Raw genomic sequence first — 25,747 nt, forward strand, 5'->3', positions numbered from 1 at the left:
ACAGGCATGAGCCACTACGCCCGGCCCTTAGATGTGTCTTGTGCTTTGCATGCAAGTGTGTGTTAGTAATGGACTTCTTTTATAAAATAATTTTATTAATACTAGAAAAGCGTATATATATATATGTGTATATATATATATCTATAGTGTGTGTGTGTGTGTGTGTGTGTGTATATATATATATATATATATATATATATATTTTTTTTTTTTTTTTTTTGGACAGCCTCTCCTCTCAGGCTGGAGCGCAGTGGCACGATTCCAACTCATGGCAACCTCCACCTCCTGGGTCAAGTGATTCTCCTGCTTCAGCCTCCTGAGTAGCTGGGATTACGGGCACCTGCCACCACACCCAGCTAATTTCTGTATTTTTACAAAAATTTGGACTCTGCTTAGATTGGCTTAGTTTTCTCTTTAGTCAAATCTTCAGGAACCAATTTATTACCATTAAAAATGATCTAACAAGCTTTATTTTTATTATTGTTAAAAATCCTCATTTTGAGGAACACAACCACAAAGTAAAGAATGTTTTCATTGATTTAACCAGTAAAAATCAATATTTAATTATAAAATTTTTTTTTTCTTCAGCTAAAACAGCGGAAGAGGTGATTTATTATATGGTTGTTACACTCGGCCACAAATAAACACAGAAATAGTCCAGAATGTCACAGGTCCAGGGCAGAGGACCAACATGGGCATTTTGTTTATGAGCAAGGTGGGTCTCAGAGGTGATCGGCGATCAGAGGGCGATGAAGTTCTAGATCCATTGAGACAAGCTCTAGACAGTAGCATGCAGTCCCACAACTTGTACCAGCATCCCCAGCATCTGGCATTCCATGTTTCTGCTCCTGTGGCCTCCACAGTGCAACAAGCTAGCGGTTTACTTGGACCTCTACCTCATCTTTCTTCTTTTGCGCTTCAGCCTGCGCATTCGCTTCTTCCTCCACTTGGCTCTCATGGTGCAGGTTTCCAAGAAAATGGCGCTAAGGCCGAGAGTTAATAATAAAATATTTAAAACATGGCTCCAGGCCATCCAGATGCCTTAACTTGGGCTCAGGCTCCTGATACTGATGGGTCTTTTATCTTCCTCTGATGCCTTTTCTGTGAATTCACCTGTTTTGGAAGAAAACACAATTAAGGTTATCTATCACAACAACCACTATCTCCAATGTGTATTCATTCCTTTTATTCATTTTAAGTCTCATCTACCTGATGAGATAACTTTTTTGAAGACAGGCATTATATGCTGTTTAACAGTACTTTGATTCTTCCACAGTTCAGTCATCCTTGCTACCTTGCAGAGGACTGGTTCTAGGATATCGCCCCCACACCATACCAGAATCTGTGGATGCTCAATCCCTTAAATATAATGGTGCAGTGTTTGCATATAACCAACACCCCCGCCCCCATATACTTTATTTATTTACTTACTTAGAGACAGGATCACCCTCTGTCACTCAGGCTGGAGAACAGTGTCACAATCACAGCTCACTGCAGCCTCAACTTCCTGGGCTCCAGTGATCTGCCCACCTCAGCCTCTTGAGTAGCTGGGACTACAGGTGCATACCACCACACCTGGCTAATTTTTTTATTTTTATTTTTATTAAAGACAAGGTCTCACTATGCTGCCCAGGTTGGCCTCCCAAAGTGTTGGGATTACAAGTGTGAGTCACCGTGCCTGGTCCCATGTACTTGAAGTCATCACTAACAAAATGTATAGATATTGTATAATGGCAACAGTTGTTATACTGTACTTTCTATTTGTATTTTTATTTTTTCTTTCTTCAAATATTCAGCCTCATCTAGTTGAATCTGAAGATGTGGACCTGCTGATGAAGAGGGCTGATTGTATCTAACTTAGGGTCTTGCATGCAGCTGGCACTTAATGCATTTTATTGACTGTTTTAGCTAACATTCAATGGACAATTCCTAATAAAAAACTCCACTCCCAAAAGTATGAAAAAGTGCAAGATGTGCTTTGTTAAACAGATGCTTGAAGGCAGCATGCTCGTTAAAAGAGTCATCACCACTCCCTAATCTCAAGTACCCAGGGACACAAACACTGTGGAAGGCCACAGGGTCCTCTGTCTAGGAAAACCGAGACCTTTGTTCACATGTTTATCTGCTGACCTTCCCTCCACTGTTGTCCTATTACCCTGACAAATCCCCCTCTCCGAGAAACACCCAAGAATGATCAATAAATACTAAAAAAAAAAAAAAAAAAGTATGAAAAAAAGGAAACCTGCTCTAAAGTGGCAGGAAAACCAGCCTGGGCAACATAGCGAGATCTTGTCTCTACAACGAAAGTTTTAAAATTCACTGCCTGCCTGTAGTCCCAGCCACTCTGGAAGCTGAGGCAGGAGGATCCCTTAAGCCCAGGAGTTTGAGGTTACAGTGAGCTAGATCACACCATTGCTCTCCAGTCTGGGTGACAACAAGGCCCTGAGAAAGAAAAAACAAAGAAAGGAAAGGAAGGAAAGAGTGTAAGTATTGAAAAGGAAGAGACAAAACTGTCATTATTTGCATATAAAATAATAAATGTTAGCCAAAGAAGCCTAAGAGAATCAACTAAGATTTTACTGGAAGTAATATGAGAATTCAGTACGGTGGCTAGAAACAAAATCAAGAGAGCAGCACACAAACCTCAAATGCTTTTCAGATGTACCACCAATAACTAACTAGAAAATGGAAGAAAGATCCCATTTACAATGGCAATACAAATGTCTGAAGTATTTAGGAACAAAAATACAAAGATCTGTTATCTAACAAAAGACGTGTAAGATCTATATGATGGAAACCCTAAAACTCTTCTGAAAGACATTAACAAGAAATGAATACATGACATGAAATACCATGTTCTAGAATGTCGTACAGATGTCAATTCTCAAATTAATCTACAAATTTAAGGTAATCCTATTCAAATCCCAAGATAGTTTTTGGTGGTGGCTGTTTTTGAGACAAGGTCTCGCTCTGTTGCCCAGGCTAGAGTGCAGTGGTATGACCACAGCTCGCTGCATCCTCAACCTCCCAGGCTCAAGCAATCCTCCCACTTCAGCCTCTGAAGTCTCTTATATGGTGTCCAAGAAATGGGGACAAATCTCACAAAGGGACTAGGCTCAGGAGGGCTGGAATATTCAGGGAAGTTTCTTTTTTTTCTTTTTTCTTTTTTTTTTGAGGCAGAGTCTCACTCTGTCCCCCAGGCTGGAGTGCAGCAGCCCGATCTTGGCTCACTGCATGCTCCACCTCCCAGGTTCATGCCATTCTGCCTCAGCCTCACAAGTAGCTGGGACTACACACGCCCACCACCACACCCAGCTAATTTTTGTATTTTTAGTAGAGACGGGGTTTCACCATGTTGGGCAGGCTGGTCTCGAACTCCTGACTTCAGGTGATCCACCCACCTCAGCCTTCAGAAGTGCTGGAATTACAGGCATGAGCCACCGCTCCCGGCCGCCAGATTCTTATGTGGGACTCCCACTGTTTTAAAGTGCTTAGTAAAGGTGGTGAGTTTAAGACATTTGTATTGATGCTACCCAAACCTCTTGGTGGAGGGACCTAATGAGCCTGTTCTCCGGTGTGAGGGCAAAAGAAAAACAGACCCTCAGTGTGTCTTCCCTAAGTTAAGCATCAGCAAATTAATGAAGACAGAGAGGAGCATCTGCAGAAACTGCTGCTCTAATCCAGACACATCCTGAACACCTCCCTCTACCTCAAAATGAACTGTGTGAAACTAGATTTCTGAACCACAGGAAAGGTGGAAAGTATTTTCTAAAGTCAGATGTAGAGGAGAATCTTCACCTTGAGTCTAAAGTCCCCTTCAGGCCATTGAATATACCCACTCTGATTTGCTGGGTATGTTATACAGAGAAATCATAGAATTTTTGCACTTACGGTAGAAGAGTAGTCAGGAAAGTATATGGAATTAAAATAGAGCGACGTATTTTCTTTACAAAATTTTTTTTTGCACAATAGCTTAACATAAACACCATTTTGGCCAGGCATGGTGGCTCACGCCTGTAACCCCAGCACTTTGGGAGGCTAAGGTGGGCAGATCACCTGAGGTCACAGGAGTTCGAGACCAGCCTGGAGGGGAGGTTGGAGTGCAGTGGCACAATCTCGGCTCACTGCAACTTCCACCTCTGGAGTTCAAGCCATTCTCGACCCTCAGCCTCCCGATAGCTGGGATCACAGGCGCCTGCCACCACGACCTGCTAATTTTTGTATCGTTAGTAGAGACGGGGTTTCGGCATGTTGGCCAGGCTGGTCTCAAACTCCTGACCTCAAGTGATCCTCCCAAGGTGCTGGGATTATAGGCATGAGCCACTACGCCCAGCCCTACACTTTGGATTTAACTTTGATTCCTGCCCATATGCAGAGTTTCAAACTGCTTAAATGTCTGCAACATTTAGCTGCAAGGAAGAAAGCTTAACACAAAGTCCTCCAGGGAGCAAAAAACTGCATCACTACGCCCAGCTAATTTTTTTTGTATTTTCAGTAGGGATGGGGATTCACTATGTTGGCCAAGCTGGTGTTGAACTCCTGACCTCAGGTGATCCGCCCCCCTCAGCTCCTAAAGTTCTGGGATTACAGGCCTGAGCCACCTGCCCAGCAACAAGGCTAATTTGAGGGTCACTTGTTTGATGCCTTTTCTTGCCCATGCCATAGGTCAGAACTAGGACAAGCAGAGCAGGTCATATATAAGCTGTGTAAGTCTCTTGGCTGCTTTGTACCTTAGTTTCCCCATTTGAGAAAAACGAATGGATCTTAAGACACACTTTTCAGAGTTCATAATGGGCTTATACCCAGCTAACCAATAATTGTATGAGTTTTTATACAAAATAGTTGTTTACACGTATTCATCTTCTATTTCACTTACAAGTTGTGTAAAAACTGCATTCCGTGCCAGGCCTGAAATGTTCCAAGGCTCAGTTCTGTAATTAAATTGCAGCCCAGATTTCTACAAAAAAAGACATAAGCCAAAGGAAAAAAAAATTATTTCAGAACATTTATCATTTGCTGTGAGTCTAATTTACATAGGATGGAACATCACCTCAATCCTTTCTCTGTGCACTAAGGCAATCTCACTGTGGAAGATACTGGCTTATGATTTATACTTTAATATTGCACATGTGGTGCATTAGCTACAAAACAGTGAACGCTCAGTAAATACCTGTGTTAAGTGATCTTCATTTCTCTAGAACAGGATTTCACAACTTCAGTACCATCGACATTTTGGACTATATAACTCTTTGCCGTGGGGGTTTGTCTTACACTCTGCAGGATGTTTAGCAGCATCTCTGGCCTCTGCCCACCAGATGCCAGGAGCACAACCACAGTTTTGTCAAGCAAAACTGTCTCTGGACATTACCAAATGTCACCTGAGTACAAAATCACACCAGTTGAGAACCACTGCTCTCTGATGATTCACTATGATCTGTGTAATAATTCTCACACTAATCTTTGCTAGAGACAAAAAGGACTTGCTATATAATTTTAGTACCTTTCTACTGGTCAAATTTTAATCATATTTCAAAATGAATAGCAAAGAGGTTTATAATTAAGTTTTATAAAAATTCCAAATGTAATAAAGTTATATTTGTAACTTACGTATACTGCAAAAATGGTAGTGATTCAAATGTTTGTCTTTCAATATACCGTATTTTATTGCAGGATGAATCTCCAGGAAAAATAAAAGGAAAATATTGCCTTGATAAGTTATCAGTGTTGACTAGTATGAATAATAGCAAGAGTTTAGAATAATATTGAATACACATTTTTCATCTCGACTCTAAACATTTGGACCTGTAGTTGAACTTTCCAGAGCCCCTAACCCTGCCTGTACCTCTCCTAGAGTCTCGCCTTCATACTTTTAATAAATAAAATATACAACTTAATAGACTTTGGAATTAATTTCTCCTGAGAGCAGTAGACTTGATTAGATGCCCTTTTGTAGTCTCATCAAATCCTAGAGTATGAGCTCAAAGCTTTTATCTGTATATATAGTTACTAATATTAAAACGAATAGCCTCACATTTATACACCTTCCTAGTTGAGGTTTGTTTTCCTAAGCCAGTTCAGTATCAGAAGAAGTAAAAGACATCCTTTCAACAGCATTTGAAAGGAAGTTACCCCTTTACTTAATACATAACTTTGAACTAATATTCAAATCATATTAATACAATTAATTTCTATCATATTAATAGAAATTCATTTTTGGTTTTATATTGCTTTAATATTTCATGAAAGCAATTTCTTCAGTTATACAGAGATGGGGCTTTTCCCTCCCTCTTTACCTGGATGGTGTAACGTTGTCTGGCTGATGTCTCCATCTCTAGTCTCTCCCTTCCTAAACTATCCTCCACACAGTCATCATATAAACTCTCCAGAAGTGGCTTGCAAAGACCAGCACCTCCTGGGAAATTATTGAGGATGCAAATTCTTGGTCCCACTCTAGACCAACTGAATCCAATAACTATGAGGGCGGAGTCCAGAACTGAGTTCTAACGTGCCCTCTCAATGATTGTGATGCAGATCCATCTTACAGCACTGCTGTGATAACATGGTTCCCCATGATGGCTCCGCAGCTTGGCATTCAAAGCCCTAGAAGATCTGGCTCCAATTTCCTACTCTCCCTCCTTGTAATCTACAGGTACTCATGGCATTCCTCGAATACTTTCCTGTGTTTTGCCCTTCTCCCATTTCCCTTTTGCAAGTTTAGAATATTGTCCCCAAGATGTCTGTCCGATGCTACACAATGGCCCTTCAAAGTCCTATTCAAATGGGATTGTTCTAGTAACAGCTTCCTGGGTCCAAACTGAAGTCATTTTCCCCTCTTCTATGCTTCAGAAACAATTTATCCCTCCTAGTGCCCACATCCATTTCTTCTTATTAATGTAGTTATTTTTCATCCCATTTTTTCTGAGCATAAACTCCTTGAAAGCATGGACTAGGTCTTGCTCATCTGCATTGCCCACCATGTTTAAAACTGACACATGGAAATAGTAAATTCAAATATTTGTAAAACAAATGAATAGCTGGCCGGGCACGGTGGCTCATGCCTGTAATTCCAGCACTTTGGGAGGCTGAGGCGGGTGGATTACAAGATCAGGATATCGAGACCATCCTGGCTAACAAGGCGAAACCCCGTCTCTACTAAAAATACAATAAATTAGCTGGGCGTGGCGGCGTGTGCCTGTAGTTCCAGCTACTTGGGAGGCTGAGGCAGGAGAATGGAGTGAACCAGGGAGGCAGAGCTTGGGGTGAGCCGAAATCGCACCACAGCACTCCAGCCTGAGTGACAGAGCGAGACTCCATCTCAAAAATAAATAAATAAATAAATAAATAAATAAATAAATAAATAGCTGGGGGAGTGAGTAGAAGGAAAATGATTATTTTAAAGCAAATGTAGTTTTATTACTTCATGGCCTCTGCAGCACTTTGGCATCCACTTGAGGGTCTTTACACCCACTTTCCTTAAGCCTTTCACATTTGAAAGAATCTGTCTGCAAAAGAGCATCACTAATAAGGATTAATGACATACACACCTCTGCGGACAGAGGATAAGAATCAAGCTTTCATAGCAATTGAACATAGTATCTTCTTGTCTCTAAACAGACAGAAATACTATGCAGGTATCCCTTTCTTGGTAACAGGGCTGGGGAGATAGTTACTGTGTAATTAGTGAAGAGTTAGGGGCATTTCTGATATGCTTCTTACTGTAAACATTTCTAGCTCTACCACTTAACCATCATTTTAAACATCTGTTTTAATATAACAATTCCTGAAATGAAATCCTTAATACTAGTCTATTCTCTTGGTAGCTTAATATTCTTGATAATATTATTTCTATAATTCAGCTGATTTCAAATATTTAAATGTTAATTTAATTCCGATTAAATTACCAAAAAATTCTGGATTAATGATGTTCAAATGAATGTAGGTGGTCTATATTTTCTTCTCCTTTAGGCAACAATCTGACGTTAACTTTAATTCCTTTCATCCTACTAAACCAACTGTTTCAAATCTTTTTTTGTGAAGGTCAGACAGTAAATATTTTAAGGCTTTGTGGGCCACATATGATCTCTCTCACATATTTCTCTTTCTTTTTTCTTTCACAGTCCTTTAAAAATGCAAAAACCATTCTTAACTTAATGGGCTATTAAAAAATAGACCTTAGGTTAGATTTGATCTATTGGCTGTAGATTGAATAGAAGAAGATGGTATGTAAACCCTTAGAAAACAAGGTTCATATGGGTGTCAGTCACTGCTCAGATCTTCTTACCATGTGAAATTTTTTCTGTCAGTATTTTGTCTATACAATTTAAAAACTGAAAATGCATAGGACATAGCGAATGCTAGAGATGGGCTGAGACCCTATACAAACTTACAGAATTGCAGAATTTTATTGCTGGAAGAAATCTTAGAGATTATCTAATTTGAACCTCTTATTCATTTTAAAGATAATATGACTAAAAACTCAAAAATATGATTAACTAACTTACAAATACTGGAGGGATAGCAGGCCTTCAAATGAATCCTTAGGTAATTCAGTCAAATAATTTTCACTGAGAATTCTGGAAAATGAAAAAGTTATTTCTAGGTTAAAATGCAAACTACAACTATTTGCTACACAGGACTATCTCCTGCATGTGGAGGAAAGCTGGGTCATGGTCATTTCAAGATGGTGGGATCTGCTCTGCTTTCGTTCAAACCTTTTCTTCCATTTTCCTTTTCGTGTCCATCCCTCTCCACCACCACCACCACACACACAGGCAAGCACACACACACACGTGCAAGCACACACATATGCAAGCACACACACACATGCAAGCACACACACACAAGCACACACACACAGGCAAGCACGCACACACACTTGCAAGCACACACACACACGCACACACACAAGCAAGCACACACACACATGCAAGCACACACACACAAGTACACACACACAAGCACACACACACGTGCAAGCACACACACACAAGCACACTGCTCCACTCTTCCCACCAAATTGTATCTTTAATGACTCCTCTCTAGATCATAATATACCTTTCAGAATCCAACTCTGGGTGGCACCAAGATCAGCAGAACCTCCATTTCCTCCTCTCTTTTCCCAAACCTTATTACAAAAGCCCCACATGGGACCATGTCAGGGCTGCAAGTGAAGCCATTCGACTTTTGTCCCCCATCAAAAAAATTTGAGAACTACAATGTGCGTAAAGTGCACATAACATAAATGTTGTTTATCTTTAATTTAATTTAACTTAATTTAATTTAATTTCTGAGACAGGGTCTCATTCTGTTACCCACACTGGTCTCAGACTCCTGGCTCAAGTGATCCTCCTGTCTCTGCCTCCCGAAGTGTTGGGATTGCAGACATGAGCCACCTCACCTGGCCAAATATTCAGTTTAATAATTATAAAGCAGATACCCATGTAAACATTGTTACAAAAGATTATTGCTAGCATCCCAGAAGCCCCAGTGTGCCCCTTTCCAACCATATTCCTCTCTCTAACCCTAGTAGGTAACCACTACTCTGACTTTTGTAATGACTTTCTTGCTTTTAAAATGTAGTCCTGGCCTGGCGTGGTGGCTCATGCCTGTAATCCCATCATTCTGGAAAGCCAAGGCACATGAATCACCTGAAGTCATGAGTTTGAGACCAGCCTGTCCAACATGGCGAAACTCTGTCTCTACTAAAAATAGAAAAATTAGCTGGGCATGGTGGCGGGCACCTGTAATTCCAGCTACCCAGGAGGCTGAGGCAGGAGAATCCCTTGAACCCGGGAGGTGGAACTTGCAGTGAGCCAAGATCGCACCATTGAACTCCAGCCTGGGCAACAAGAACAAAATTCCATCTCAAAAAATAAATAAAGCAATTCTCCTGCCTCAGCTTCCCAAATAGATGGGATTATAGGCACCCACCACCATGCCTGGCTAATTTTTGTATTTTCAGTAGAGATGGGGTTTCGCCATATTGGCCAGGCTGGTCTCAAACTCCTGACCTCAGGTGATCCGCCTGCCTCGACCTCCCGAGGTGCTGGGGTTACAGCTGTGAGCCACCGCACCTAGTATGTGTTTGATTTTTAATTTAGAACTCATGTATGTCTTGTCTATATAAGTCAAACTAATGATGTGACAGAAACTGTTGTGAAAAATGTTACTTTGAATGTAAGCATTTTTCCAAAATCATTTATGTGTCTCAACTAATTCCTTCTATAAATCAGGAAGACAACGATAAAACAATTCAACAGGAAAATGAACAAAGGACAGAAAACTCAGAGGAGAAACACAAATGTTCAATAAACATATAAAGATATTTAATTAAATTCATGAGTGATCAGAAAAATTCAAATTTGGATGGAATCCCTTTTATTCATCCATAACTTCAACAAAAATTTGGTGAATACCCAACAGTGAAAAGGTGTGGGGAAATGAATGCTGTCACATTCTGCTGACAATACAGTCAGTTGGCACAACATTTTTGAGGACAATTAAAATTTTATATCTACATAGTCTTCACCCCAACTCTTCCATTTCTAGATATCTATGCTATAGGAATACTTGCCCACTAAGCATAAGCTCAACATTCATCAATGGGGAAATTATTAAATAAACTCTGATGCATCCATACTATGGATTATGCAGGAGTTTAAATGAATGGGGTGACCCTCTAAGTCCCAGGAAGGAAAGAAATTATGAAGTGAAAGAATATCATATAAGTGATACCATGAAGTGAAAGAATCAAGTTGCAAGATGTTACCCTTTATGAAAAGAAAAAAGATTTTAAAAACCACACAACAAATCTATTTTGCTTTATGTAAATATGTATGTAGGTAAATGGGGAAAAGTCTGGAAGCATGTATACTAAACACACAGTAGCATTACCTCAGGGACGAGAAAGTAGGGCAGAAGGAGGGTTTTTGTTATACCTGTTATTGCATTTTTATACATTAAAAATAGAATCATGGGCTGGGGGTGGTGGCTCATGCCTATAATATGAGCACTTTAGGAGGCCAAGGTGGGAGGATCACTTGAGCCCAGGAGCTCAAGACCAGCCTAAGCAGCATAGGAAGAACCCGTCTCTACAAAAAATACAAAATTAGGTGGATGTGGTGGCATGCACTTGTGTGTGGTCCCAGCTACTTGGGAGGCTGAGGTGGGAGGATCACTTGTGCCTGGGAGGTGAAGGCTGCAGTGAGATGTGATTATGCCACTGCACTCCAGCCCAGGGGACAAAGTAAGATCCTGTCTCTGAAAAAAAAAGAGAAAAAAAAGAATATAACCATGTATTATTTGTATGATAAAAAATAAATTTAAATTGCCTCTTAGAGAGAGCTTCCCAAATTTAATTTTAAAATAACCATAGGATTGCAATCCACAGAGGTTGATTTCGGGTATGGAGGGGAAATATCTTTTCTCAGAGGTATAGACCTCAAAATTCTGGACCAAGAAGGATCTTATAATGCAGTTAGTTTTTTGTCATATTTGGAGAGAATATACTCACAGTTTCTCGGTCCAACTGTATGCTTTCCATACATTTCCATCAATGTATGAAATATAGTTTCCTTGGAAATTTCTGTGAAGAAAGACAGTTTATATCCTTGAATAGGCAGGAAAAGAATGAACAGGATAAATAAAAGAATCATGGCAACCTTGTCGGGGATATTCGGAAACAGAAAATAACACCTGCTTTCTCATTTCCAGAGCTATCAGCTTCCCAGTTTGCACAATTCATCAAGAAATAATGCAGGGCCGCTGGCACAAATGATGAGGCATCTCCCGGAAGCTTAACTTCCTATCCATCCCATCTCTTGGACAGACGATGCCAGTTAATTACGTTGAATGTAAGTATTTTATCCAAAAGCACTTATGTGTCTAAACAAACTCCTACAAATCAACACAAAAATGGTAAATAATTCAACAGAAAAATGGGCATAAGCTTATCTTTATCGATAAATAAGTAGAAAGAAACCCTATGCCAGGTAACACCAAAGCTTTGCCCTCTGTTGAAACATCCTAGGCTTTTTCTTTCCACTCTTATTACAACTGATCTGATTTAGCCCCTTCACACTTTACTCCTACATTTTGCTAGACCTTTCTATTTTGTCTCCCTGAAATAAGCTTTTCCTTTTGGGCACTCTACATATGGATTCTAAAATAATCCTTTGCATGTCTATACTTGAACATAAAGCAAAAAAAACAAAATAAAATAAAATAATCTTCCTGTTTTAATCATTTAATCTCTCTTGCTTGGAAACTTTCAATGGCTTTCCATACCTCATTGTGTACTCTTTAAGACCCAAGTAAACTTTTAGCTTATCCATGTAGCTTTCCCTGATCTCCACACCTCAAGGACCACAGATTCTGGTAAATTCTAGCAACGATGGTATGCATTATCTTTCAGGAATTAATTATATACACCGCCCTTTTTATGCCTATTCTCTTTCTTCCCTCCTATCATCTTCATGTTCTGCGGACAATAGCATACTTTGTCCTGGGTTTGTCACAAAATGAGTGCTACATATAAAAAGCCAGGGACAAAGAGGAGTTCTGGACATAACTAAAGGACAGAGTAATCATGTTAACAGCCAACACTCCTACATATGCTAGGCACTGATGAAGTGTTTCATATATTCACTCACCCAAATTTCACAACAATCCTATGAAATGGTAACTAGCATAATCCCCAGTTTAAAAGGAGGAAATTGAGTCACAGAGCAGAATAACTTGCTCTGGATCACCAAGCTAATAAACAGACCTGGGTTCAAACCCAGGCAGCCTGGCTCCAGAATCAATTCTTAACCACTTAGAGCATCATCACTGAGATCGGGAGAGTGACAGGCTGCTGTAAAGAAGGTGAAGCGGGCCAGGCGCGGTGGCTCACGCCTGTAATCCTAGCACTTTGGGAGGCTAAGGTGGGTGGATCACCTGAGGTCAGGAGATCAACATGGAGAAACCCCGTCTCTACTAAAAATACAAAGAATGTTTTTTGTGTGTTGCCAGGTGTGGTGGCACATGCCTGTAATCCCAGCAACTCAGGAGGCTGAGGCAGGAGAATCACTTGAACCTGGGAGATGGAGGTTGCGGTGAGCCAAGACCGTGCCATTGCACTCCAGCCTGTGCAACAAGAGCAAAACTCTGTCTCAAAAAAAAAAAAAAAAAAAGAGGGTGAAGCGAAAATAGGAGCAGAGCAGCGGTTAAGCAATGATGTGATGGGGTAAATAAGAATGGATAAGAAAACGAGTAAGAGTAAAAGACTGGAGAAAAAGTAAAAGACTGGAGAATGGGTCTAACATTAAAGGAGAATGAGGAGAAGGGAGAATTGACAAGCAAAGGTGAAAGCAGAAAGTCAGTTGTCAGTATGGCTTGGGGAGATAAAGAAGGCCCTGGAAGGCCTCCAGGAAAAGGCTGCCATGTCAGGCAAGACACAGAGGATGATTGAGGAAAGGTGATTCTTACAAGGTGGTGAAGATGCCATTGTAGGTGTAGGGCTCTGGCACAGGCACTTGGCGGAGCCTCTGCTTTGGGCTGAGACCAACACATGACAGAGTCTCATCTCCGCAGGTGCAGAGCTCACATATGTTGGTGCCTGTGGAGGCCTTCTGTTCCTCTGGTGCAGTTTCAGACTGCACCAATGAATCCTGCGAAGATTCTAACTTTGTAGGTGGACCTGTGACTTCAGTCAGGCTTCGATGCAGAGTCTGAACCTGGTCTGGATGAGGAGCTCTAGTCTTCTCCAGGGCTGTGGAATGTCCAATCTCTGTAGTAGGTTCTGGAGTTATGGCAAGCCCCGGGTCTAGAGGCTGAGCTGAGGTTTCCTCCGTGGTTGGAGATGGTTTAACCTCTGTAGTAGGCTCTGTAGTTATGCTAAGCTCCAGGTCCAGAGGTTGAACTGTGGCTTCGGTCAGGTGTGAAAGCTGAGCCTGACCCTTGTCTGAAGGTGAACACCTCAGGGTGTTCTGGAGGAGGAGCTGTAGTCGTCAGGGCTGTAGAAGATTCAACCTCTGTTGTGGATTCTGGAGTGATGGTAAGCTCCAGATCCAAAGGTTGAACTGTGGCTTCAGTCAGGTGTGAATGCTGAGTCTGAAACTGGTCTGGATGTGGAAGTATCACCTTAAGGTGCTTTGGAGGAACTATAGTTCTCTTCAGGGGTGTAGAATGTTCAACCTCCATAGTGGGTTCTGGAGTGATGGTAAGTCCCAGGTCCAAAGGTTGAACTGTAATGCTGGGTGACATTGGATGCTGAGCTTGATCCTGACCTGGTGTTGGAATTTTTACCTCTTGATATAGTACAAGTTGTTGTAGAGCTTTCTTAGGAGGCTGAGTTGGGGTCTCCTGCATGGTTGGAGAAAGTTCAACCTCTGTCGTTGATTCTGGAATGATGGTAAGTCCCAGGTCCAAAGGTTGAACAGTGACACTGGGCAATGTTGAATTCTGAGCTGGATCCTGGCCTAGTGTTGGGACTGTCACCTCATAATGAGCTGGAGGTTGAGCTGCAACTTCCTTAGGTGGCTCTGGAAGCTGAACTGGGACCATTTGCTGCCTTGAAGATTCTACCTCCCTAGGGGACTCTGCAGCCTGAACTGTGGCCTCCTGCTGGGTCAGAGAAGGTTCTGCCTCCACAGGGGGCTCTGGAATCTGAGCTGGAACCTCCTGCTGAGTTACAGATGGTTCTACCTCCTGAGGGAACCCTGGAGGCAAAGATGGGGCCATCTGCTGGGTCAGAGAGGGTTCTATCACCATAGTGGGGTCTGAAGACTGAGCAGGGACTGCCTGCTGGACTGGAGAGGATTCTACCTCTTTAGGTGGCTCTAAAAGCCAAGTTGGGGCCTGCTGTAGACTGGAGATGGGTCAACCTTCTCAGGTGGCTCTGATGGCTGAGCTGGTGTCTCCCACTGTGGTGGAGGACTGACCGCTTCAGTGGACTTCCAAGGATGACCTGAGGCTTCCTGCTGGGTTGCAGATGGTTCAACCTCCTTAGGGGGCTCTGGTGGCTCAGCTGGGAACTCTTGCTGGACTGGAGAAGGTTCTGCCTCCTTAGGGGGATCTGGAGTCTGAGCTGTGGCCTCTTGGTGGACTGGAGATTCAATCTTCTCAGGAGAATGCAGAGGTGGGGAAGGGAGATCAGGCTGGGTTAAAGAAAAGTCAGCCTGCTCAGTGGGAATAGAAGGGTTGTCCTGCTGGACTGGAGAAGGTTCTACCCACATAGTGACTGCTGTAGGTTTGGTAAGCTCCCTATCTAGATCTAGATATGACACATCTGGAGGTGAACCTATTGCTTCATCATCCATTGAACTTACAAAGTCTGAGGAGAGCTGAGTTGGAGGCTGAGTTGTAGGCTCTTTATGGACTGGAGGAGGTTCATAATTTTCAGGTCTATTTAGCTGCTGAATTATAATGTCTTGCTGGTCTTTCAAATGTTGAAACTGCTCAGGGGACATTAAGGGCTGAGCTGGGGCCTCCTGCTGGATTGGAGAAGACTCACCCTCCTCAGCGGTCTGTGGATGCTCAGCTGCAGCCTCCTGCTGGGTTGGAGTGGTGTTCTCTTTATTAATAGGTTCTGGAGATTGAACTGAAGTTTCCTGTTGAATTTGTAAATGTCCAGCCTCTTCTGATGACTCTGGAGGCAGAGGTGGGCACCCGTGCTGGATGGCGGGAGGTTCTACATTACCTGGACCTGAGAGCTGAGCTGTAGCCTCCTGGTGGACTGGAGAAGTTTCCACCTCTGCACTAGGCTCTGTTGCTATAGTGAGCTGCACGTCTGGAGGCTTAACAGAGACATTGGGAAAATCTGAATGCTGAGTTTCATGGTAACCTGAAGGTGAAACTGGGACTTCATGATGTTCTGGGGGCTGAGCTGGGGTCTCCTGCTGGGTTGGAGAAGATTCAACCTCCCCAGAAGACTCAGAAGGCTGAGCTAGCTGCTCCTGCTCACTGGGGGAAAGTTCAGGCTCTATAGGAGGACGTGGAGGCTCAGTTGGGGCCTCCTCTTGGAATGCAGATGGTTCCATCTCTTCTGGAGGCTGAGCTGGGGTCTCGTGCTGGGCTGGAGAAGATTCAACCTCTCCAGAAGACTCAGAAGGCTGAGCTGGCTGCTCCTGTTCACTGGGGGAAAGTTCAGGCTCCATAGGAGGACCTGGAGGCTCAGTTGGGGCCTCCTGTTGGGTTGCAGAAGGTGCCACCTCCTCTGGAGGCTGAATTGGGGCCTCCTGCTGGGCTTGGGAAGATTCTGTCTCATTTTTGGGCTCTGAAGTCATGGTAACTTCCACATCTGCAGGTTTGACTGTAACGTTGGGAAAGTTGTAATGAGCAACCTGGAGGTTGAACTGTCACTTCATGATTCAGTGGAGTTTGAGCTAGACTCTCCATAGAGGACTCTGGAGGCAGAGCTGGGGCCTCCTGCTGGGTTGAAGGTTCTACCTCCTGAGGGAGCAGTGGAAGCTGTGCTGGGGTTTCTTCCTGGAGTGAAGAGGACTGGATGTCTTCAAGGGTCTCTGGATTTTGAGTTTCAGGCTCTAGATGGAATTGAGAAAGTCCAACTTGCTCAGGAGGCCCTGGAGGCTCATCTGCATTCACCCGGAGTTCTGGAGGCAGGCTGCCGGAATACAGTGTGTCCATACTCAAATATTCATCTGCAAAGTCTGTTTCTGACGCTGAGGTTTGTATAATTGGTGTGGAATCCCGACAATCTTAGCAAGGCTCCAACGCTCAGCTAGATCTTTCTTCAAGTTCTTTGGAAAAACAACAAATTTGGTTGGTTTTGAAACCTTACTGTCTAGCGGAACAAGTATTTCATCTGCCTGATGACCTGCAGCCCGATCTAGATCTGCAGTTTGAAACTTACTTTTGAGGCGAGGAAGCTGAACTAGGGTCTGGTTCTGATCCCTGTCCAGCAGTGGAACCACCTCTGGGAGCCTTTCTTGTGGAGTCCGCTTGTCATTTAAATCCTGATGTGCAGCCAAGAACTGCTCTGGCCCCAGGGGCAGCTCTCCACCTGAATCCGTATCCAGGAATGGAACCAAATTTTCATTTGATTCCTGGGGCAGGGCTGACACCTGTGAGGAAGCAGAGGGCCCCAGGTAATCAAAGTCCCCTGGGGCTGCTGGGGGAGCAGGTGCATGAGGAGATTCCCATGGGAGATGGGAGGAGCGGGAAGACCAGGGCTCAGGTGACCCCAGGGGTTAGAGGTCAGCTGGAGCGGGTCCTTGACCAACACCAGATGTGGAGCCTCCTTGACTAGTAGACACAATAATTGCCACTAGGAGACACAATAGCTGCCACGTAAGGAGGGGCCACGGGCCCCAGAAACGCAGCCAGGACATGACACATGCTAGTGCCGTGCACTGATTGGGAGCCATTCTGGCAGCCCTGAGATGCTCATGCCCCTTATAAGCGTGCGCCCCGCCCTGTCTTTATGACACCTTTATTTATGCCACATTTATTTGGCTCGGGTCCAGATCTGCTCCATTTTACCATGGCAATCTTATGTCACAATCTCGCTCAAGTGATCCTCCCACCTCAGCCTCCTGAGTAGCTGGGACTACAGGATGTGCCACCACACCCAGCTGATTTTTGTGTTTTTTGTAGAGACAGAGTCTCCCTATGATGTCCAGGCTGGTCTCAAACTCCTGGGCTCAAGTGATCCTCCCACCTCAGAGTCCCAAATTGCTGGGATTACAGGGATTAGCCACCATGCCCAGCCAATCCAGCCATCTTGCAGCCAATCCTCCAGCCCCAATTAAGCCTTCAGATGACTACAGCCCCAGTTAGTATCTTGACTACAAACTCATGACAGATCCTAAGCTAGAACCACTCTTCTAAGCTGCTCCTGAATTCCTAACCCATATACAGTGTGTGAGATCATAAACACTTATTGTTGTTTTAGGCCTCAAATTTTGGAGCAATTTATTATGCAGCAATAGGTGACTAAAACACACAATAAAATTGCTGTCATTACTATTATAAAGTACTTCCTGATTTTGAGCTGAAATCCACTTTCTTGTAATCACCACCCTCTCTTCCAGTTCCGTCTTTTTGGGCCACCTAGAAAAAATACAATCTCTCTTCCTCATGGTCAAAATGTTTGGTGCCAGTTTTCATGCCAACAATTTAATTCATCAGACATTTGAAGAGTGATCACTGTACCAGGCAGTAGGCATGCAAAGATAAGTAGGACGAGGTCCCTGCCTAGCCATACACTCAAAACATTCTTCCACAGGAGGTGTGCTGTAATGAAGGGACCTGACTCCCAGTGCAGGAGAAGGAGGTCCAAATGCAGGTGTGGCTGGTTCTGCTTACAGAGGTGAGGGAAGGCTTCTCAGAACAGGTGGCAGGCGCTGAGGCCTAAGGGATGAATAGGCCTTCTCCAGGATGACAGGAGGGGAAGGACTAACAAGCAGAAGCTGCAGGCAGAAGACCACCCTGACACTAACCACTTTCTTCCGCAGGGTACACATCTCCTCTCCTCTTGTCCAACTTTTGAGTCCTCTCCCAACCCCTCCCAATCTTGGTAACTCCACTCAGAACACACCCTTTCCTGTCACATGATGGCATCTAGAGGGAGCCAGCCCTCCTCCAGGGTGGTCCGGCCAGTGTGGAGTGGAGTTGGCCGTCACCTTTCTTTTTCTGGAAGCTCTGCTTGGTCCAGACTTGTCTGAGGTTTTTTGGCCTCCACATCCTTCAGCTGACTCATGCTGGGCCTGCAGGCATCTGGACTGCAAAGTCATTTTTCACACGTGCTCCTGGGAAACCACATCTCTTCGTACTTTGTACTTCTGCTGTTGTTTTGTTTTCACAATTTTTCATGGGTGTTTTGAAGTTCAATAATTTGATCTATGCAAACTGCTCATCTCAGCTCCTGGTTGGCAGGGGCCTTGTGGAAGCAAATTGAGCCACCAAAAGAATCCAATTTAGAACACGCCCTGGAAACAGAAACCGTCTGTCATTCTAAGGCCATTGTGGTTGGGAGTGATTCAGACTCATTGCAGCTCCTTCCAGCCTTCAAAGATCTCACCGGATAAGAGCCTGGCTTGGATTTGAAGACACCTTCTATGAAGGAAAGGCTTTGGCAGGGGGTGAGGGGGGTGGGCTGTGATACTTTGTAGGAGCTGAGCACAGACGGAAGGAAATTGGAAGGGGATGTTTGTCTGGCTCCCACCTTCCCCCGTCAGGGAGAATCAGGCCATTGTCTAGGTAGAACTCTTGGCTTGTTTATCTTCTCAGACCCAGCTTAGAACAAGGTTTCACTCAGTTTTCTTTCCACCCAAAAAATGACCACAGGAAAGAGTGACTTGCGTTTGCTAAGTGTCCAGTCCGTACTCTCCGTTCCCATTTCTCTGCCTCTTTCTCCCATTATCGGCTTCTAACAGAAAATAAGAAGAGCAAGCTTCCCTTTGGTCCCATCAAAGATAACATGTAGACATTCATTCATGCGTTCATTCCTTTAACTAGCATTTATTGGGTTCCTACTATGTTCCCAGCATTGTTATTGGTACTGGTGACCCTAGTATAAAAGACACAATCCCTGCTGTCAAGAGGTCACAGTTCTGGAAGGAACCCAGCGGTACTGGCAGCAGCGCTAGTGGGGAATGGGAGCACATAGAAGAGGCATTTGACTCAGCTTTGGAAAGAATTGGAAAAGGCTTTAAAGTAGAGTAAAAGTTTGCCAGAAAGAATAATCATTATTACAGCTTTTTTAAAGCGTCTTCTACATGCCAAGCACTGTGCTAAAATCTCCCTATATATATTGTTTTATTTTAATCCTCACAACTCTAAGAGGTCACTACTGTAATTATTCCAACTTCACAAATGAAGAAAGTGAGATTTAGCAAGGTCGCCTTGGTGGGGCATGGCTGCTCACACCTATAATCCCAGGATTTGGGAAGCCGAGGCAGGAGGATCACTTGAGTTTAGGGGTTTGAGGCCAGCTTGGGCAACATAGTGAGTCCTCTGTCTCTACAAAAAGAAAAAAAAATAGCTGGATATGGTAGCATGCACTTGTGGACCTAGCTACTTGGGAGGCTGAGGTGGGAGGATGGCTTGAGCCCGGGAGGTTGAGGCTGCAGTGAGCTGTGATCATGCCATTACACTCTAGTCTGGGTGACAGAGCGAGACCCTGTCTCAAATAAATAAATAAATAGGCTGGGCACGTGACTCAGGCCTGTAATCCCAGCACTTTGGGAGGCCAAGGCAGGTGTATCGCTTGAGGTCAGGCATTCAAGACCATCCTGACCAAAATGGTGAAACCCCATCTCTACTAAAAATACAAAAATTAGCTGGGCATGGTGGCACATGCCTGTAGTCCCAGATACTCAGGAGGCTGAAGAAGGAGAGTCACTTGAACCCAGGAGGCAGAGGTTGCACTAAGCCAAGCTCGCATCACTGCACTCCAGCCTGGGTGACAGAGTGACACACTGTCTCAAAAAAATACTAATAATAAATAAATAAATAAATAAAGTCAACCTGCTCACCTCTTCACTAAGAATGAATAGCAGAAATGAGAAATAGATGCAGCTTTTCCTGACTGTGTAGCCCATTCTCTTACCCAAGGCTGCTATTTACAGTCGTGCAGGTTGTACATTGCACAATTCCAATGCTGGCCCTGCACTCAATAAGCCATTATAGATGGGAAGGGTATCCAGGCAGAAGGGGCCTACTTTGCAGAAATATGAAAAAGCAACCTATATTCAGGGAACTGACCCCATACAGCCATGTCAGAGGCTACAGAACTCCTTGAAGATGGGCAGCTCCTCTGCACCTCCAGTGATTGTTTACAGAACTGACCGATAGTGTCTTGGGAGAGCTCCTGGGGTTTTGCATTTGTTTTTTGTTTGTTTGTGTTTGTTTTGCTTTTGAGACAGGGTCTTGCTCTGTCACCCAGGCTAGAGGGCAGTGGTGCAATGACGGCTCACTGCAACCTTGGCCTCCCAGGCTCAAGCTATTCTCCCACCTCAGCCTCCAGAGTAACTGGGACTACAGGCATGTACCACCACACTCAGCTAATTTTTATTTTTATTTTTGTAGAAATGGGGGGGGGGTCTCACTATGTTGCCCAGGCTAGTCTGTAACTCCTGGCTTTAAGCGACCCTGCTGTCATGGCCTCCCAAAGTGCTGGGATTACAGGCATAGCCACCGTGCCAGGCCAGGCTTTGCATTTGGTGTAGAGACCCAATCCTTCCTTCTTACAGAGCTATGGAGCTCTCAGCAGGATGTGCATACTTCTGAACTGTTGACCATGCAAACATTCAAGCACAGAGGATGCAGGAGGTCCTGAGTCTCCAAACTGCTCAGTGTCCTATGAATGGCCAATCAGTTTCTCATGCATAGGCACCAAACATAACCTGCCAAACAAGCCAGTTCAATATCTAAGCCACCCCAACTTCTTTGCAGAAGTCGTTTCAGTAGCAAAGAATGGTCTGAGAAAAATAGGCACAACCAGGGTGAATGCCTACAACACTCCAGGTGCTCAGCAAACGTGATCTCTTCCACTCTCACAGCTTTATGAGACATCATCTTTCATTTTGCTGATGAGGAAACTGAGGTTCAGGGATCAGGTAACTTACCTAGGTTACGTGTGCAACAAGCAGCCACGATTCTCACCAGAATCTTTCTAGTGGCACAGCCTCTATGCTTCTATCCTAATGTTGGCTTTCAAAAGGTACCCGGAAAAGGGCAGGAAACAGCTTACATGGCTCCTAAAATGCCTGACAGCATGTATGTGGCAGAGTCTCTCTCTACTTTTTTTTTTTTTTTTTTTTGAGACGGAGTCTCACTCTGTCGCCCAGGCTGGAGTGCAGTGGCACAATCTTGGCTCACTGCACATTCCACCTCCCGGGTTCATGCCATTCTCCTGCCTCAGCCTCCCGAGTAGCTGGGACTACAGGCATCCGCCACCACGCCCAGCTAATTTTTTGTATTTTTAGGAGAGACGGGGTTTCACCGTGTTAGCCAGGATGGTCTCAATCTCCTGACCTCGTGATCTGCCCGCCTCGGCCTCCTAAAGTGCTGGGATTATAGGCGTGAGCCACCGCACCCAGCCCTCTACTAAGGTACCCAGAAAAGGGCAGGAAACAGCTTATATGGTTCCTAAAGTGCCTGAGAGCATGTATGTGGCAGAATCTCTCTCTATTTTTAATTTTATGTATTTTTCTAGAACCTATGTCATCAATCTCAGAGCTCAGAGACCCCTCCTCAGGTGGAGAGGCTGCTTCCAGACATCATTCCACCACAGCCTTTTCTCACTGTGCAATAGTTTGGTGTTGACAGAGTAGAATAAATTATTAAATGCTTTTCTGGAATTGATTTGACTCCAAGGGTCTTTGTGTTAAAATAATTTCCTATATCAAATAGGGTTCTTGGTTGTGCCTGACTCTGACTAACTTAAGGGGGGTAGGGAGTGGAACTTATTGGAAAGATACAGAGCGAGAAAGAGTCTTTTTAAAAAAATGCTGTAATAATAGGGACGAGAACCAGGGTAGCTCTGGGGAAGGAAGTCACAGAAGTTAAAGGTTGGTTCTTCAGGATGTCATTATCAGGATGTTTCAGCTCTGACTCCTTTCTGCCCTTATTCACACACCCAGCTAGAGTTCGAGTTACCCGCCATACCATGGCACACAGAGAACAAGACATCATGCCTGACAATTCCCCTAAAGCTTCAAGCAAAAAGTAAGGGGCAATCTCTAAAGCAAAATCAAGGTAATGCTACATGGAGAAAGGGAAATAGATCTGGCACTCTGACAGCATTTGTTTTTGCTTGACCAGGTTCTACTGAGGCAGGTAATACAAGCTGGGCATGTGAATAAGGGCAGAAAAAAGCAGGAGCTGATATAACCTGAGAGCAGTCTTTCTCCAAGAATGTTCAACTAAATTATTTCTTTTCTTTCTTCTTCTTCTTCTTTTTTTTTTTGTTTTTGAGACAGAGTCTTGCTCTGTCACCCAGGCTGGATTGTAATGGCATGATCTTAGCTCACTGCAACCTCTGCCTCCCAGGTTCAAGCAATTCTCCTGCCTCAGCCTCTCAAGTAGCTGGGATTACAGGCATGTGCCACCACATCCACCTAAGTTTTGTATTTTAGTAGTGACGGGGTTTTACTATGTTGGCCAGGCTAGTCTCGAACTCCTGGCCTGAAGTGATCCACCCATCTCAGCCTCCCAAAGTGCTGGAATTATAGGCATGAGCCACCAAGCCAGGCCCAGGCTAAATTATTTCAATTTAATGTACTGGAGGTTTGAAAATTAATACTTAAAAAGAAACTTGTCTAATGTTTCAGAGTTTCAGTTTGGAACGATAAAAACGTTCTGGAGATGGATGGTGGTGATGGTTACACAACAATGTGAGTGTACTTAATGTCACTGAACCACACATTTAAAAATGGTTAATATGGTAAATTTTATGTTATGTATATTTTACCACAATTTGAAAAATCACAACAACCTTAAGAAAGAGAGAAAGTTACTAAATGATATGTGGTATCCTGGAAAAGAATACAATCTATAGTTTAGTTAATATCATTGTACCAATGTTAATGTCTTAATTTTGATAAATGTGTCATAGCTATATAAGATTTTTAACATTAGGGCAAACTGGGTTCAAAGTATAAGGGGGTCAGGCATGGTGGCTCATGCCTGTAATCTCAGCACTTTGGGAGGCTGAGGTGGGCAGATCATTTGAGATCAGGAGTTCGAGACCAGCCTGGCCAACATGGTGAAGCCCCGTTTCTACTAAAAATTCAAAAATTAGCTGGGCATGGTGGTACACGCCTGTAATCCCAGCTACTCGGAGGCTGAGGCAGGAGGATCACTTGAACCTGGAAGGCAGAGGTTGCAGTGAGCAGAGATTGTGCCACCAGACTCCAGCCTGAGGAACACAGCAAGACTCTGTCTCAGAAAAAAGAAAAAAAAGAAAACAAAAAAAGGCTGGGCATGGTGGCTCATGCCTGTAATCCCAGCACTTTGGGAGGCCAAGGTGGATGGATTGCTTGAGGTCAGGAGTTCAAAACCAGCCTGGGGAACATGGTAAAACCCCATCTCTGCTAAAATACAAAAATTAGCTGTGTGCAGTGGTACGTGCCTGTAATCCCAGCTACTCAGGAGGCTGAGGCAGGAGAATCACTTGAACCCAGGAGGCAGAAGTTGCAGTGAGCAGAGATTGCGCCATTGCACCATCCTGGGCAACAGAGTGAGACTCCTCCTCAAAAAAAAAAAAAAAAAAGAAAGAAAAGAAAAGAAAAGTAAAAGAAAGAAAACAGTATATGGGGCTGAGTGTGGTGGCTCATGCCTGTAATCCTAGCATTTTGGGAGGCCAAGACAGGAGGATCGCTTGAGGCCAGGAGTTTGAGAGCAGCCAGGGCAACATAGTGAGATCTCATCTCTACAGAAAAGTTTAAAAATCGGCTGGGCATGTGGCGCTTGCCTGTAGTCCCAGCTACTCACTAGGCTGAGGTGGGAGCATGGCTTGAGCCCAGGAGTTCAAGGTTGCAATGAGCCACGATCGGGCCACTGCACTCCAGCTTCACAACTGAATGAATATATGGGACTCTTTACTATCATGCAACTTTTCTGTTAATCTAAAATTATTTCAAAATAAAAAGTTTATTTTAATAAGGAAACTACATTATAAACATTTTAATAAATAACTTTTATAAATGACGTTCAATTCGTGAGGGTTTTCAACATGTAAACTAATTTTGTGGAAGACGTCCACATTGTTCCATAAAATGAATAAGAAATGTTCTTACCAGCCGGGCGCCGTGGCTCACGCCTGTGATCCCAACACTTTGGGAGGCCGAGGTGGGTGGATCACGAGGTCAAGAGATGGAGACCATCCTGGCCAACATGGTGAAACCTCTTCTCTACTAAAAATACAAAAATTAGCTGAGCATGGTGGCCGTGCCTGTAGTCCCAGCTACTGGGGAGGCTGAGGCAGGGGAATTGCTTGAACCCAGGAGACAGAGGTTGCAGTGAGCCGAGATCGTGCCACTGCACTCCAGCCTGGCAACGGAGCGAGACTCCGTCTCAAAAACAAAAACAAACAAAACGAAACAAAACAAAATGTTCTTACCTATTAGAAATTCCACAGTATGATGATGTTCTCATCTGAGTCTTCAGTTCCCTCTGCCTTGATAGTACAGTCAATAGAATGTTCCTTCTCAGAATCCAAGCCACATAGACTCAGAACTGATGGAATTAAAACTGTACAAATCCAGGACAATCACACACCACATACCTCTCCAGGTGATGCAACACGAGGCACACCATGTCACTTCTAAGGTAATCATCCCCAAAATGTTTAACTTGAATCTTATTAAGGCTTTAGGTTCCATTTTGGGGGGAATACAGGAGATCAACGAAGAAGTTTTGTGACACCATGAGGAGAGAAGTCTGCAAGCTCAGAGTCTGGGGCAGACCGGAAGACAACTGGTGTGGTCTCTGGAAACAAGTCTAAGTTGTATTCTTTAGAGAAGTTTGGCCATGAAGGGAGCAGAAAAATGAGGAAGTAGGAGCTAAGAGGAGTCATGGGTGGGCTTTTTTCTGTTCTTAATTTCCAGTCTTTCATCAGCAGGGGATCAGTAAGATCCTGAGCCTGAGCCAGGCATGGATGAGGGAAATGTCCCTGTCTTCTTTCCCTGTTCTTGTTCTGTGTCATTTGTTGCTTCTTCTGTGCATTATATGGTCATGTTCGATATTAGAACATTTCCTTCTTATATCAGGGGTTCTAATTTAATCTGCAGAGCATTTTGTC

At 43.8% G+C, this 25,747-nt stretch overlaps 2 pseudogenes across 5 annotated transcripts in view, besides 7 other annotated features; one reads left to right on the plus strand and one right to left on the minus strand.

The window, feature by feature from the left end:
- LOC107984974 (SMAD specific E3 ubiquitin protein ligase 2 (SMURF2) pseudogene) overlaps positions 1-13,135 on the plus strand; it is a 38,254-nt pseudogene extending 25,119 nt beyond the window's left edge. For 3 of the 4 annotated variants that reach the window (NR_171382.1, NR_171379.1, NR_171380.1), the window contains one exon: positions 227-1,957. The product of NR_171382.1 is annotated as an SMAD specific E3 ubiquitin protein ligase 2 (SMURF2) pseudogene, transcript variant 4 (transcript). Of the gene's footprint in view, positions 1-226; positions 1,958-11,712 lie in introns of those variants that run through there. The other variant, NR_171381.1, reaches the window with a different exon arrangement.
- On the minus strand, positions 1,051-25,412 carry LOC646030 (leucine rich repeat containing 37B pseudogene; annotated as a pseudogene). The gene is made up of 7 exons (NR_146737.1): positions 25,067-25,412; positions 24,744-24,860; positions 11,513-11,584; positions 8,502-8,573; positions 5,608-5,677; positions 4,877-4,957; positions 1,051-1,113 (listed from the first exon to the last, which is right to left on the minus strand). The product of NR_146737.1 is annotated as a leucine rich repeat containing 37B pseudogene (transcript).
- Positions 11,437-11,468: a non allelic homologous recombination region, noted in NCBI's record as "sub-region R53520, recombines with sub-region R53520' within the NF1-REPc PRS3 recombination region". NCBI's record gives the evidence for it as "EXISTENCE:nucleotide sequencing assay evidence [ECO:0000219][PMID:22045503]".
- Positions 11,437-12,498: a biological region, named in NCBI's record as "NF1-REPb PRS3 recombination region". NCBI's record gives its function as "recombination_partner: LOC108783648".
- Positions 11,470-11,587: a non allelic homologous recombination region, noted in NCBI's record as "sub-region R85918, recombines with sub-region R85918' within the NF1-REPc PRS3 recombination region". NCBI's record gives the evidence for it as "EXISTENCE:nucleotide sequencing assay evidence [ECO:0000219][PMID:22045503]".
- Positions 11,590-11,620: a non allelic homologous recombination region, noted in NCBI's record as "sub-region D0710202, recombines with sub-region D0710202' within the NF1-REPc PRS3 recombination region". NCBI's record gives the evidence for it as "EXISTENCE:nucleotide sequencing assay evidence [ECO:0000219][PMID:22045503]".
- Positions 11,847-12,151: a non allelic homologous recombination region, noted in NCBI's record as "sub-region GUE, recombines with sub-region GUE' within the NF1-REPc PRS3 recombination region". NCBI's record gives the evidence for it as "EXISTENCE:nucleotide sequencing assay evidence [ECO:0000219][PMID:22045503]".
- Positions 11,847-12,388: a non allelic homologous recombination region, noted in NCBI's record as "sub-region D0910711, recombines with sub-region D0910711' within the NF1-REPc PRS3 recombination region". NCBI's record gives the evidence for it as "EXISTENCE:nucleotide sequencing assay evidence [ECO:0000219][PMID:22045503]".
- Positions 12,390-12,498: a non allelic homologous recombination region, noted in NCBI's record as "sub-region N2603, recombines with sub-region N2603' within the NF1REPc PRS3 recombination region". NCBI's record gives the evidence for it as "EXISTENCE:nucleotide sequencing assay evidence [ECO:0000219][PMID:22045503]".
- Positions 25,413-25,747: the final 335 nt, after the last annotated feature.

The sequence above is a fragment of the Homo sapiens genome, chromosome 17 (genome assembly GCF_000001405.40).
Source record: "Homo sapiens chromosome 17, GRCh38.p14 Primary Assembly".
NCBI classification, from domain to species: Eukaryota; Metazoa; Chordata; class Mammalia; order Primates; family Hominidae; genus Homo; species Homo sapiens.